The sequence below is a fragment of the Homo sapiens genome, chromosome 3 (assembly GCF_000001405.40).
Source record: "Homo sapiens chromosome 3, GRCh38.p14 Primary Assembly".
Taxonomy (NCBI): Eukaryota; Metazoa; Chordata; class Mammalia; order Primates; family Hominidae; genus Homo; species Homo sapiens.
Window position 1 is genome coordinate 157,468,766 of NC_000003.12, and position 15,712 is coordinate 157,484,477.

At 36.8% G+C, this 15,712-nt stretch overlaps 1 protein-coding gene across 24 annotated transcripts in view; it reads right to left on the reverse strand.

The window, feature by feature from the left end:
- VEPH1 (ventricular zone expressed PH domain containing 1) overlaps positions 1-15,712 on the reverse strand; it is a 243,864-nt gene that overhangs the window by 209,024 nt on the left and 19,128 nt on the right. For 23 of the 24 annotated variants that reach the window (XM_047448927.1, XM_047448922.1, XM_024453748.2 and 20 more), the window contains one exon: positions 1,549-1,764. In XM_047448927.1, the coding sequence (XP_047304883.1) occupies positions 1,549-1,566 (18 nt within the window). In that variant the 5' untranslated portion in view covers positions 1,567-1,764. Of the gene's footprint in view, positions 1-1,548; positions 1,765-15,516; positions 15,689-15,712 lie in introns of those variants that run through there. The other variant, XM_047448926.1, reaches the window with a different exon arrangement.

Consider the following 15,712-nt stretch of genomic DNA (forward strand, 5'->3'; position numbering starts at 1 on the left):
TTTTTAATTGAGATAAAATATACATATATAATTTACCATCTTTGCAATTTTTAAGTGTACAGTTCAGTGGTAATAAATATATTCGTATTCTTTTTCTCCCTCTTCACCTTTGTTCCCCCACTCACCCTGGGACGAGAACATTTAAAATTACATATTTGACTTCTGTTTGTGGCTTGCATTAGATTTCTATTCGATAGTGCTGCCCTAAAGACGAGTGGTTTTGAACCTGCAGGGGGAGATGGATAGGATGGTTAAATTGTCTGAATGTCTGTTAAAGTGCACATTGGAGTGAAATAATCTATGTTTCTGATATATATCAATAATATACCAAGATAACCAATGAAGAGCAAATGCACTGGGTCTTTGGTGTTCCATCAAGCACTATTCATCTTTTGTTAATTTTGCTGCAATCCTCATTTTCTCCCCACCAACCCTTAACCCTGGGGATGAAAGAGATACAGTGTGGTGGTGCATGAAGAGTCTTTTGTTCAGTTGATCAATTCCTAGACTGAGCAGACAAGGTAAAATATGATCCAGTTAATCATAAACAACTGTGGGAAAAAAAGGAAGAAGAATAAAGGACGCTCATATCAGCTGCAACATGCACTGCTAAGCATTTTAACATAATCAGAATTTCCTGACCTGTGCTCAGTGGAACACAGGTTCTGAGGGATGTTCATAGTGTTGTGTTGGGAGTGGGGAGGAGAAAGGAGGTTTCATAGTGAAATCAGACTGGAAAATGCTGGCCTAAACAAGGTTAACCAGCTTTCTTTATTGCAGTACTTTACAGAACCTTTAGTATGCCATGAAACATTGTGATCATTCAAAAGGGAAAAAAGAATTGTTTTCCAACTTATTTCATCACAAAGTTCTTTTCTGAGAAACACCTATCAACATCTCTGGTTGGTAAATTTGTCATAGACAATGTCATTTAATGTGCATTTCACATAGAGGACCCTGTGGCTTAAGAATGTAAGTGACTTGCCCAATATCGCAGTGTTACACAACTCATTAGCGGCTGAGCCAAAACTCCAAATTCACATTTATACCAGAGGAAATAATTAACTGTGGTCAGAACGGGCAAATATCATCATGAAAAATTCTCAATACATATAGAAATATGTCTGAAATGACTTAGTCACTTTCCCTGCTAGGTCCCGAGCGCACTGCCCCTCAGTTCATTTTCTGCTTCTACTGTGTTCTCCTTGGATGAAAGAGATCTCCTCTTCTGAATTTTTTAGTACTCCTCCTGTGGGTCTTGGCACATATTGCTTTCTTGTTAACTTTTTATATGTATACTCTCCAAACAGATTAGAGGCTTGCAGTGGTATTACTTGAATTCCCTACAGTGTGTCTTGCACGTAGCAGGAGCTCTACAGAACTTTCTCAGTTTATTAATTACCGGCCCTCCCAGCTATTGATGGCTTGTAGTGTCTTTTTACAGTATCTAAATGCTGCAGAAGCATTGGCTCTTGGTTCACAGACATCACAGGTTCACCTAGGCTGCCAACTCAGTATCAAATAGCCTGATGTTGAACACTGACATACCTGTAAAATGCAACTCATGATATCAGATGCGATTTTTGCATGAGGAGTGTCTTCGTCTTTCCCAAAGGGTCTCAGGTTATGTTCCAAGCAGGAGTCCCAGAGCCCCACAAGGGCCTTTGCATGCTTTTCAATGGACTCGGTCTCTCTGATGGCTGTTGTGATTCTTGTGATACAGATTTCAACTACTGCCTGGTCATTGTTATTGGTTTGGTAATCCTGTTTGGAAAGAAAATCTTCATGTTAAATAATACTCTAGAAAGTTATCCTTCAAAGGACAAAATACTAACTCAGTCATTTAGAAAATGGGTGCACCAGGCTGTGTGCTAAGGGGTGAGGGTGTAAAGCCTAATACAATAAAGGCTTCCTTCCTTGGAGATCCTAATCTTGTGGAAGAGGCAGATACACAAACATGCTAAAATGGAGCAGGTTCTACTATCACCCTTAGACAGGGATCCCTGAGAGTACACAGGCGCTTAACTATTCACTTGCAAGTGGGTTTAATCTTTAGACTATTTCAGTTTCTAAGTCCATTACAGGGCAGGGGTTACTTTTTACTCTGACATTTCAGCAACTTTTGTGAAATGTTTCAAATTACCCTTCAATTTCCCCTCATTAGTTTTCTCCCTCTTTCTGGACATAATGGAACACATCATTTCATCTCTCCCTTTTCAACTCAAATAACTACAAAACCCATTTTACCTTTCCCCAACCAGGTTTTCCTCCATTCCCCTGTCTTAATTCTCCCTCAAATACCTGATCATCTTTACTGAGAAATAATGGGACCTCCAAAACATCTAAATGTGAAAAACAGACCCACTGCATTAATTTGGATAATTGGTCTGACTGTGAACTTCACATGGTGGACTCACAAAACTGAAAATATAATAGAGCAGGAAAGTATTTAGAGCCTGACATCATCATGTGAGATTAGAGATGGGAAGTGATGGGGTTTTTCGGCACTACAGCAAACTCCAGCTGTAACAATTTTCTGTTGCTATAACTAATAGGACAGTAAACATCTTGTGCATGAAGCTCTCTCTACATTGCAAATTATTTATATACTAGAGCCTCCAGAAGTGAAAATTTCTGAGACAAAGGACAGGCACATTTTTAAGGCTCAAAATAGGTACTGTTGAACTATGTTCCAGAAAGGTTTTACGAATGTGAACTCCCTCCAGCTGGGTAATAGAATGATCTCCTTATTGTACACTTACAAGAACAGAGTATTTATAATATTTCTAATTTGATTAGTGAGAAACAGTATCTTATCGCTGTTTTGCTTAGGAATTTCCTTGCCCAAAAGTGAGGTTGAATGGTTCTGTGTTTATTGGCTGTTTGTATTTTCTCCTTTGGGAACTACCCACGGTACCTTATATATATTTTTCTTTAGGTGACCTCATCTTTTTTTTTTTTAATCCTTCTTTGGTACAATATATTTTTCTATTAAGGGTATTAAGTGAATATTTGACATTTGGCTGCAAATATATCTCTACGTTTCATTATTTTTAGTTTTTTTGCTGCTATTCAATGACATCCTAAGATTTTAGGTAATTAAATTTGTCAATTTTGGGGCCTTATTGTTTTTCCTTTTCTAAATTGGAAACTTAAGTTGTTTACATTTTTTTGAAAGGTAATACATAAACATCGTACAAAAATTCAAAAGATGCAAAGAAAGGGTTTACAGTTAAAAGTTAATCTCCCTGTCAGCGCTGTTCCTCATCCGTCCCAGTCCCCTTCCTCAGCGGGAGCCAGGCTCAGCAAATCCTTATGTTTATACAGAGGCATTCTAAGCACATGCAGATATTATCCACACATTCTCCTTTCTTTCTGTGTGATTCCTGTAACAGATTTTTGTTTAACTTCAAGTTTTCCTTATTCAAAATTTGAATAAAAATCATCTCTACTTTTTTCCAGATTAAAAAGAACTTCACAAAACACTCACCATTTATTACTTTAGAAATTCATCTTTTAACCATTTGCTTAGCTCTTAAATCTATCTGGTATTTATGGAAATAAGTAGAAATGTACATTTTCTTCTAAATAGCTAACCTAATCTTCCTACTACCATTTAGTGAATAATTCATTTCCTAGTAATTGTTTTAAATATATCAGATTCTATTTCAGGGCTGTCTTTTCTGTCTGCCATTTCTCAATTCTTTTACAATACTAATTTTGCAACTTTCCCTATGTAAGCTTCAGAATTTTTTTTTAACTTTTATTTTAAGTTCAGGGGTACATGTGCAAGTTTGTTATTTAGGTAAACTCGTGTCATGGGAGTTTGTTATACAGATTACTTTGTCACTCAAGTATCATGCCTAGTACCCATTCGTTATTTTTTCTGATTCTCTCCTTCCTCCCACCATCTAACCACTGATAGGCCCCAGTGTGTGTTGTTCCCCTCTGTGTGTCCATGTGTTCTTATCATTTAGCTCCCACTTAAAGTGACAACACACAGTATTTGTTTTTCTGTTCCTGCATTAATCTGCTAAGGATAATGGCCTCCAACTCCATGTTCCTACAAATAACATGATCTTGCTCTTTTTTACGGTTGTGTAATATTCCATGCTGTATATATACCATATTTTCTTTATCCAGTGTACCATTGATGGGCATTTAGGTTGACTCCATGTCTTTGCTATTGAGCTTCACAAATTTTTGACCATGTTTCCTAGTGTATTTTGTCTTTTTGTTGTTGTTAACAAAATATTTTTTCTCATTAGAACTTTTAATTAGTTTTTGCTGATTAAATGAACCTTTTTTTTTTTTTTTTTTTTTTTTTGATGGAGTCTCACTCTGTCACCCAGGCTGGAGTGCAGTGGTGCGATCTCAGGTCACTGCCACTTCCGCCTCTGGGGTTCAAGCAATTCTCCTGCCTCAGCCTCTGGAGTAGCTGGGACTATAGGAGCATGCCACCACGCCCGGCTAATTTTTTGGATTTTTAGTAGAGACAGGGTTTCACCATGTTAGTCAGGATGGTCTCAATCCCCTGACCTCGTGATCTGCCTGCCTTGGCCTCCCAAAGTGCTGGGATTACAAGCATGAGCCACCATGTCGTGCTTTTTGTATTTATTTTGTAACTTGCTCTTTAGCTTAACTACACTTAATTATGATAAATTTTCAATTCATCATCTTGGGTTTTCTAAAAAGATTTTTGTGTTTCATGCAGCCTTTCTGAGATCTATATATTTTATATATCCCATGGCTTATTATGTTGGCTAGAATCTTCTATGCTATTTCACATAAAAGTGATTAGAACAAGAATGCTAGCTTAGTTCCTAGTTTTGATTCTTGATTTTTGGCATAAAATTTTATGGTCCAGAAAAACAAACAAAAAAATACAGTAAATGTTTTAAATCATATAGAATACATCACTTTCTATTTTCAAGGTTTACATATTTGATTTAATTTCCCTAGTAAGCATTATGCTGGCTTTTTGGGTGAGAGATTTTATAATATTATAATTTACAATATTAAAGAGGTATCAGTCTATTGCTATTTATTGAGTTTATTTTTAAATAAAGAATAAATTGTGAATTTCATTAAATGCCTTTTTAGCATTTATAGGTACATCAAATATTTTTGTCCTTAGATCTATCAATATGATAAATTACAGAAACAAATTTCCCAATATTAGTTAACTTTGCATTCCTGGAACATGTTGTACTGGATCTTGGGAAATAATTTTTTAAGGTGCTGCTAAATTCTGTTTTTAGTATTTCATTTAAATTTTTTTGCGTCAATATTTGGTCTTATGTTTGTCAGGTTTCGTATCAATTTTATGCTAAGTCCATAAAGGATTTTGGAAGATTTAAGCTCTCTATAATCTTACTTATTATTTGACCTTACAGTGGCTCAACAGAAGTGAATTAACATTTCCTGCAACTAATGTGTCTATCTGCTTTTACTGGTATCTCCTGGAGTTTTTCTTTATGAATTTTATTGCTATGTAATTTAACATAAAGATATTCTTAATCTTTATAACTCTTGTGAACTAAATCCATTAAAAAAACAAAGTGCCTTTATTTTACTGAATGCTTCTGGCATGAATTTTTTCTTATCTGACTAAAGAACATGATCCCTGTTCCTTTTGGTTTACATTTACCTCATATCATTTGCCTATTTTATTCTTATTTTTAAAATTTATTTTACAACCTATATTGTATCAAGTGAGTGGTTGTTAACTCTCTTTCTGTAACTTTCTAGGAAATAATTTAGTAGCATCATTCAACGATTCTTAATAGTAAAAAATATGCCTAGTACATAGAGTATACAGAAGTCCTTGATCATCGTCTGGGTCCAAACCATTTTATCATAATCAACAATTTAAGCATGGTGGAGCTACATGTAGACTTCACAGGTCTTCATTTGAGAACAGAGGGCCCTGCCTTAGCAAATGAGTGGGCAAACTCTCACAATTTTAAGCAAAGAGGATTAGTTTTGACTCAGCATTGATTTTCTGTGTCAAACGATTATTTCCTGTGCTTTATCTGTTAATTTGGCATGGTGTTAAAAAAAAAAAGAAATAGCCTATATATTAGGTTTGAATATGTGATATGGTTTTGTGGTAAACATCAAAATGATTTGCTTTAATTTGAATTATTCACATGTGTTTTATAGTCAAGTAAATCATTGTTTAATTTTGCATCTTTTTATTTTAGATTTTCTAATTTTTAATTTTTGTTTTTTTTTCAGACAGGTTCTCTCTGCCACCCAGGTTGCAGTGCAGTGGTGCCATGGCTCAATGCAGCCTCAACCTCCTGGGCTCAAGGGTTCCTCCTATCCCAGCCTCCTGAGTAGCTGGGATTACAGGTGCATGCCACCATTCCCAGCTAATTTTTTTAATTTTTTTTTTTTTTTTTGTAGAGATGGAGTCTCGTTATTTTTCCCTGGCTAGTCTTGAACTCCTAGGCTCAAGTGATCCTCCCCACCTTGGCTTCCCAAAGTGCTGGGATTATAAGTGTGAGCCACCATGTCCAGCCTATTTTTACATTTTCTAAATCATTTCCTAAGTCATTAAATATATGTCTCTTCTTTGCTAGATTTTGCCCGGTGATCTAATCTAAAAGTCTTTTTAAAAAAATAGGTGCATTTTACCCATTTATATAAAGTGATATGATAGATACATTTGGCCTTAAACATGTCATATTAGCTCATATTACGCTTGAGTTTTTTCTTAAGTTTTGAAGTTCAAGAATTTTACTAAGAAGTGGTACATTTTGGACCAGACATGAAAAAAGCCAGAGTGCACAAATAAGCTGTGTGAACAGGTGACCCGGACCCCTGTGTCATCAACCACTATAGAAATAACATCTTACACTCAGGTGACACTTATGGCCACATGAGGGGTTCCCTCATGGCCAGCTGACAGAGGAGGAAAATGTCTCAACTTGGTTTACTGATGGGTTGGCTGGGTATGTGGGTGAAATTCAAAATTTGACTTCTCTTATGTATAGACCTACTCAGGGTGACCCTGAAAGACAAAAATGAGAGAACATTCTCCCAACGGTCAGAGCTTCAGCCATGCACCTGATCGTTAATTTTGTGTGGCAAGAGAAATGGCTTGGCTGAATGGCCAAGGGCCTGAAAAAAGAACGATTGAGAAACTGGAAATAAGGAGCTCTGGGTAAGAAGCATGGATCCACACATGGGATTGGACATAAAGTATAAACATCTTTTATGTTCATGGGAATATTCACTACACAAGAGGCACTAAAATACAAAGCAGAGGGAATGACTCAGCCAAATGACATCAACCAAGCCTCTGTCATCAGTCACTCCAGTGTGATCCAGTCAGCACATAAATGGAGTAGCCATGGTGAGGGATAGAGGCTAGGCATCACCCACCACTGCCTTGATGTAAATCTACCAGCAACAGAGGCCCCTGCTAAGTCCTCAGAATGGCACCATCCCTCAAGGAAACAAATCAATCACTTGGTGGCAAGTTATTTACATTAGACCTTTTCCACCCTGGAAGGGACATCAATCATATTGAGTGGAATTTACACGTAATCCAGGATTGGGTTTGCTTTTTTTCTGCCCACAGGGCTTAAGCCTGATTCACTATTTGAGGGATCACAGAGCATTTGGTCTGCTGACATAGGATTCTACATAACACTGCATCAAACCAAAGAACCATTTTATAGCAAAGGATGTACAGCAGTAGGCACATAATCATGGGACTCACTGGTTCTATCACATACCATAACTTCTTCTGCCCCCACCCCAATACTGCTAGACTGATGAATCAATGGAGCAGGCTTGCAAAGAAGCCACTCAACCTTATATCCTGTTAAGATGAAACACCATTCTCCAAGGGGCAGTACACATACTAAAACAGTGACCACTGCATGGTACTGTATTCCCTGCAGGTAGAATACATGAGCCCAACAGCCCAGTCACCTCAGGTTCTTTGTGTCAAGGGGACCAGCAGATTAAGAAAGGAGTTGCCAACCTGGCAGGAGTAATTAGCCATGCCCATTAGAAGACAGTAGGCTGCTGTTACACAATGGAGATATCTCTTGGTACTCCCTTGCCCAATTTTGATGGTAAATGGACAATGGAGCAGTCACAACCTGAGAAAGGAATGGAGTCCAGGGACTTAGATCCCTCAAGAAAGTGCATCTGAGTAACTCAACTAGGAAGCAACTTAGATTAATAGAGGTGCTAGCTGAAGATGAAGGAAATCCAGAAGAGGTTGTAAAGGAGGGATACTGCATTTGTCTTCTTGTTATAGTTGCAAATAATTATCACATACCTACTGGCTCAAGAATTTGTGTTGAGAAATTAAAGTTCTGCAGGTCAGAAGTCAAAAATCAGTCTCACTGGACTAAAGTCAAGGTGTCAGCAGGGCTGGTGCCCTCTGGAGGCTCTGAGGGCATTTTTTTTTTTTTTAATCTGTTCTAGCTTCTAGAGGCCACCTGCATTCCTTGGCTCATGGTCCCTTCCTCCATCTTTAAAGCACATCACTTCAACCTCTGCTTTTATCATTCCCTCTCTTTCTTCCACCTTTGACCTTGTTTCCCCACTTATAAGGACCCTTGATTATATTGGGCCCACCCACATAATCCAAGATGATCTCCCAATCTCAAGATTATTAATTATATTATATCTGAAAAGGTCCTTGCCCATGTAAGATTACATTCACAGGTTCTGGGGTTTAGGATGAGGACATTTTTTGTGGGCCATTATTCAGCCTACCACAGAGATGATGCATACCAATTGCAGCCTTGATAAGAACTGGAGTGGTGGACACTTGACTTGGGCACAAAGTATAAACATCTTTTTTATCCCATGTTAATGCCCATGAGAGCATTCATCACAAAAGAGGCAATAAAACACAAAGTAGAGAGAATGACTTATCTAAATGACATCAAGCCTCTGTCATCAGTCACTCTAGTGTGATCCAATAGGCACGTAAATGGAATAGCTATGGTGAGGGATAGAAGTTATGCATCATTCAACGCTGCCCTGATGTGAAACCTGACAGCAACAGAAGCTAATGCTGGGCCCGAAGAATGGCACCATCCCTCAAGGAAACCAGTTAATCACAGACATGTTAGATCCCCTTCTAACTTTCTTATTATAAATTTCCTTAGAACAAGAGATCAATCAGCTTATCAGAGAAGCTGTTTCCATATAGAATAAATTTATTATACAAAGCATACCATTTAGAACAGTTCTGGGGTAGACTATAGTGGACATGATGATACATTGCCCAAATCCCCTCTCCAGGACCTAGGTACTCATTCTCTCAGCTGTTGGTTTGTAGCCAAGTCTGCCTATAGAAATTTTCTGTGGTCAAAGGGAATGGCCTCATTCAACATTTTGCTCCTCCCATTGGACAACCTGCATCCAATGACTAGTCATCATGGAGATATGAAGGCCTGGTCCCTTGTCGTAGGATGACTCTGAAGGGTCATCCCAGTTCCAGAGGTCCCTGTGAGAGATTAGTTGAGGCCTTTTTTTCACAGCTGCATTACAGTGCAAATTTTTCCTCTGCCCAATCCTGCTTCATCTACCCCCTAACAGGTATTGTTTCTCAGAGCACTCCCCTATAAATGTTCTGCATGGTAATCACCATTTCAGAGTCTGTTTTCCTGGGAACAGTTTATATAGATGACACTGAGAAGCATAGCAAACAATGTCCAAATAATAGTTTATTAATAAATGGCAATGAGATGTTTGTCTGAATGAAACAAGCCTCAATAAAAGTGGAAGGTGCAACTCAATGAAAAATACATGACAGTCATCTGTGTCTTGGTCATGAACACTAGAACTCAGTCTCCATGCTAAGAAAGTAATGAATTATCAGAGAATTTTGAAAGGGGCCTTTCGAATGAAGCCATTGTGTACAGGATCGTGTCAGTGACATTGTTGAACATAAGGCAAATATCCTATGATTTCTAACTAGAAAAGTTAAGCAGCTGTCCATAAAGATAAATTACTTCACATTGTTCATAACTGCAGCGAATATAGTAATATATCAGGTATAGATACATCAGTTATGAACTTTGATATTACTGTGAGCCCCTTAAAGCTATGAATTTCTTATTACACAGCACTTTACTACAAAGAGATTTTTCAACTTCAAAAATTTTATATCTTCAAATTCTGTACATGGCATGAAGAAAAAATTCTCCAAAATGAGATTTCCTCCAAAAAGGGGGAAAACCTGAATAAACAGTTAACTGCTTCCTTTAACAAATATTCAAAAAGACAAAAAAAAATTTTAACCTGTTTTAGTGGTATAATTGAATCATTTAAAGCATTTTGGCAAGGGATCAGCTTTGCAATTAGGGTTTTTCTGACTTGCATTCCAGAAAATATCATGTTCTTTTGAAATACATATGTGTATGTGTTTATGTTTGGGCTCGACATTGGGTCAGTACCTGTGCATATTAAAATGAGCAACTTCTAAGGACCAAATCTATTTAATGTCAAACCCATCAAGCCAGACTTAGAGAGTCATTCTCACAGTGACCTAGCCATTGTCAATTTTAAAGTAATTTATCCTAAAGTGGTGGGGTGTCAAATGGGAGAAGTAGGACAACGAAAAAGCCACAAATTGTGCTGCTCCAGGCTTGTTTATCAGGATGGTTCACTCTCACTCAACACACCTCCGCTTCAGCATTCATTAACCTTTTATGTCACTCTTACCTACTCTGAAAGCAGTCTTCAGGGAATGGCCCACTGGCAAAAGGGAGGGAATACCTCAGATAAAGCAGTTGGTGGTGGGAAGAATGAATTTGGCATGGGAGTGGAAACTTGAAAGAAAAGAATGGAGAGTCCTAAGGCAAAGGATGTAATCATTTCTCCCTCCCTTCCTTTAGAGGCTGCATAGCATAGTGGTTAAGAACATGGACTGCATCAGAATGCCCATGCTAAGGGCTCGGCTCTGCTTTTACCAGCTCTTCACAGGCAATCACTCATCTCTCTAAGCCTCTGTTTCCTAATTTTTAAAGTTAGAATATTGTTACTATCTGGCTCCTAGGATTGTTGCAAGTATTCAATGAGTTAATACATGGAAAGGATTTACAACAGTGTCTGGTGCACAGTAAGTGCAGATAAATGTTAGCTATTATTTTTATTTCCCTTAAGGATACCATAACCCTAAAAGCCAGCTTTGGGTTTATAACCTACAGTGAGTTACAAATTCTTTCTTTCTTTTTCTTTTCACTTTCTCTCTTTCTTTCTTTTTCTTTCTTTTCTCTTTCTTTCATTCTTTTTTTCTTTCTTTCTTTCCTTTTTCTTTCTTTCCTTTCTTTCTTTCTGTCTCTCTCTCTCTCTTTCTTTCTAATAGATATCTTTATTGCATTTCCAGTGTTCTTCATTTTTTTGGATGGATAAAAGTGTCTGAATATATTATATTCCTTATCTCTGAAGAATTTCTTTCATTTCTTGTTGAGTAGGTCTGTTGCCAATGAATTCCTTGTTTTTATTTGTCTGGGAAAGTATTTATCTCTCACTTTCTTTTTAAAAATTTTTTATAATTTCAACTTTTATTTTAGATTCAGAGCGTACATCAGCAGGTTTGTTACAAGAGTATATTTTATGACACTGAGGTTTGGGGGCATAAATTATGCTGTCACCCAGCTAGTGAGTATAGTACACAATAGGAAGTTTTTCATTCCTTACCTTCTTCCCTCCCTCTTTCTCTAGTCTCCAGTGTCTATTGTTCCCATCCTTACGTCTATTTGTACAAATGCTTAGCCCCCACTTATAAGTGAAAAAAGTATCATATTTAGTTTCTGTTTCTGCTTTAGTTCACTTAGGATAAATGGCCTCTAGTTGCATCCATGTTGCTGCAAAGGACATGACTTTGTTTTTATGGCTGTGCAGTATGCCATGGTGCATATGTACCATATTTTCTTTATCCATTCCAGTGTTAATGACCACCTAGGTTGATTCCATGTCTTTGCTATTGTGAATAGTGCTGCAATGAACATAAAACTGCATATGTCTTTCTGGTAGAATAATTTATTTTCCTTTGAGTATATACCCAGTAATGGAATTGCTGGGTCAAGTGGTAGTTCCTTGTTCTTTGAGAAATCTTCACACTGGTTTCCACAGTGGCTGAACTAATTTACATTCCCACCAACTGGGTATAAGCTTTCCCTTTTCTCTGCATCTACAGCCTCACCAACATCTGCTGTTTTTTGACTTTTTAACAAAAGCCATTCTAGCTGGTATGGGATAGTATCTCATTGTGATTTTGATTTGCATTTCTCTGATGACTGCTAAAGTTGAGCATTTTTTCATGTTTGTCAGCTGCTTATGTCTTCTTTTGAGAAGGGTCTGTTCATGTCCTTTGCCCACTTTTTAATGGGACTAATTGTTTTTTGCATGTCGAATTGTTTAAGTTATTTATTGACTCTGGATATCAGAACTTTGTCAGATGCATAGTTCACGAATATTTTCTCCCATTCTCTAGGTTATCTGTTTACTTTGTTGATAGTTTCTTTTGCTGTGCAGAAAGAAGCTCATGGATTGGAAGAATCAGAATTGTTAAAATGGCCATACTGCCCAAAGCAATCTATACATTCAACACAATTCCTATCAAATTACCAACATCATTTTTCACAGAATTAGAGAAAACTATTCTAAAATTCATATGGAACCAAACACACACACACACACACACACACACACACACAAAAAAAAAAAAAAAAAAAAACAATCCTAAGCAAAAAGAACAAAGTTGGAGACATCACATTACCTGACTTCAAACTATGTTACAAGTCTATAGTAACTAAAACAGCATGGTACTTCTACAGAAACAGAAGCTCTTTAGCTTAATTAGGTCCCACTTGTCAATTTTTGTTTTTGTTGCAATTGTGGTTGAGGACTTAGTCATAAATTCTTTCCCAAGACCAATGTCCAAAATGGTGTTTCCTAGATTATCTTTGAGGATTCTTATAATTTGAGGTCTTACATTTAAATCTTTAATCCACCTTGAGTTAATCTTTGTATATGGTGGTAGGTAGGAATTCAGTTTCATTCTTCTGCATATGGCTAGTCATTTATTGAATAGGGTATCCTTTCCTCATTGCTTAGTTTTTGACTTTGTCAAAACATTGCTAAGTTTTTGACTTTGTCAAAACATTGCTAAGTTTTTGACTTTGTCAAAACATTGCTTAGTTTTGACTTTGTCAAAGATCAGATAGTTGTAGGTGTGCAGCTTTATTTCTAGGTTCTCTATTCTGTTCCATTGGTCTATGTGTCTGTTTTTATACCAGTACCATGCTGTCTTAGTTATTGTAGCCTTATAGTATAGTTTAAGGTCTGGTAATGTGATGCCTCCAGCTTTGTAATTTTTGCTTAGGATTGCTTCAGGTATTTTGACTCTTTTTTGGTTATATATGAATTTTAGAATAGGTTTTCCTAATATTGTGAAAAATGATGTTGGTAGGTTTTTTGTTTGTTCATTTTAAGACAGAGTCTCACTCTGTCGCCCAGGCTGGAGTGCAGTGATGGGATCCCAACTCACCGTAACCTCTGCCTCCCAGGTTCAAGTGATTCTTATGCCTAAGCCTCCCAAAATAGCTGGAACCACAGGCATGCACCACCAGGCCCAGTTAATTTTTTGTATTTTTAGTAGAGACAGGGTTTCACCATGTTGGCCAGGCTGGTCTCAAACTGGCCTCAAGTGATCCACCTGCCTTGGCCCCCCAAAGTGCTGGAATTACAGGTGTGAGCCACCCACGCCCAGCTGATGTTGATAGTTTGATAGGAATTGTGTTGAATCTATAAATTGCTTTGGGCAGTATGGCTATTTTCATGATACTGATTCTTCCAATCCATGAGCATGGAATATTTTTCCATTTGTTTGTGTCATCTGTGATTTCTTTCAGTAGTGTTTTGTAGCTGTAGTTGTCCTTGTAGAGATTTTTCAGCTCCTTTGTTAGATGCATTCCTAGGTATTTTAGTTTTTTGCAGCTATTGTAAATGGGATTGTGTTCTTGTTTTGGCTCTCATCTTGAATGTTACTAGGTATAGAAATGATACTGCTTGTTGTACATTGAGTTTTGTATCCTAAAATTTTACTGAAGTCGTTTATCAGTTCTAGGACCCTTTTGGTGGTATCTGCAGTGTTTTCTAGGTATAAATTATGTTTTCAGGGAGGAGAGATATTTGGACTTCTTCACAAACATTTTCATGTGTGGTTGATATTTTTATACATTTATTCCACAACTACTTAATAATGTATTGAACAAGGACCACATAGTTATTACTGTTATAGTCATATTCTACATTGGCATCCATACTAATAATCCTTTATATTTTCATCCTTCTTTCCACTTTTAAAAGCATACACACACACACACACACACACACACACACAATGTGTATATAATGATACATTATGCCATTTATTCTATCACTTCAAGAATCTCCAAAGCCAAGACATCACCACCACTAACAACAAGTGAGCTCAGAACTGACAGTATTGCTGGGATTCCTAGCAGAAGCAAATACAAACCACTTTGAAGGTACAACACTCAACACAGACCACTCAGTACTTACACAAATAAAATCTTACTTATGCTGAACTTAAAAATTTAATATTACAAAACACCCAAGAAAATAAGGCAATATGAGCACATGTAAGCAGATTAAACACAGAGCAGATTAGATATTTAAAAATTTCAGGTAAGAAATTATTGACCTCAAATTACAAAATTATATATTCAAAATCAATGTATAAAGAATAATTATTTTTATTTTAAAAGACCAAGTCACTTTTTTAAAAACCAGAAATTTTGTTTTTAAAAAAGAAATCTCTAGAAATTAAAACCTCAGTAGATGGATGAAACCGTGGATGGATAGAGCTGAAAAAAAGACTTAATGGATTGGAAGATAGAGCTGAGAATATAATATCTCACATAGAGATGGAAAATATAATAGATCAAGAAATATTGAAGATAAAATAGGACAGAATACGACGGATAGGAGGGCGATGATTTTGTCTGTTCTTTTTTTGTACTATTATGTTCTCAATGCCTAGAATATTGCTAGAAGAGAGTATGTACTCAATACATATTTGTTGGATGCACAACTGAGTGAATAAATATCATTTCTAAAAGGAAAGATTAGATGTGAAAGTTAATATTTGAGAAAAAGTTTAAGAACTTTACAAAATTGAAAAAAGACATAAAACCCTCAAACTCACAAAACACAATAAGGATTGAGTAGGAATATACAAATAAAACTATATCTAGACATGTAATAGTGAAACCATAGAACACCAAAGGCACAGGGAAAATATTAACTAGAGAGAAAAGTAGATTCGGTATAAAGAAATAGCAATTAAAATGACAGCACATTTCATAACAGCAATAATAGAAACTACTGAGAAATGAAATGGCTGCCAATCTAGAAATGCATATTCAGGTAATTATTCAAAATTAAGGGCAAAAATAAGGACTTTTTTAGAAAAACAAGCATTTAGAGAGTTTATCATTAACAGACCTTCACTGAAGGAACTTCCTTTTCCCCAAAGATGGGGTCTTGCTATGTTGCCCAGGCTGGAGTACAGTGGCTCCTCAGAGGTGCAATTATAGCATGCTGCAGCCTCAAAGTCCTGTCTCAAATGATCCTCTTGCCTCACCATGCTGAGTAACTGGGACTACAGGGACATGCCACTGCACTTGCTGAAGATACTTTT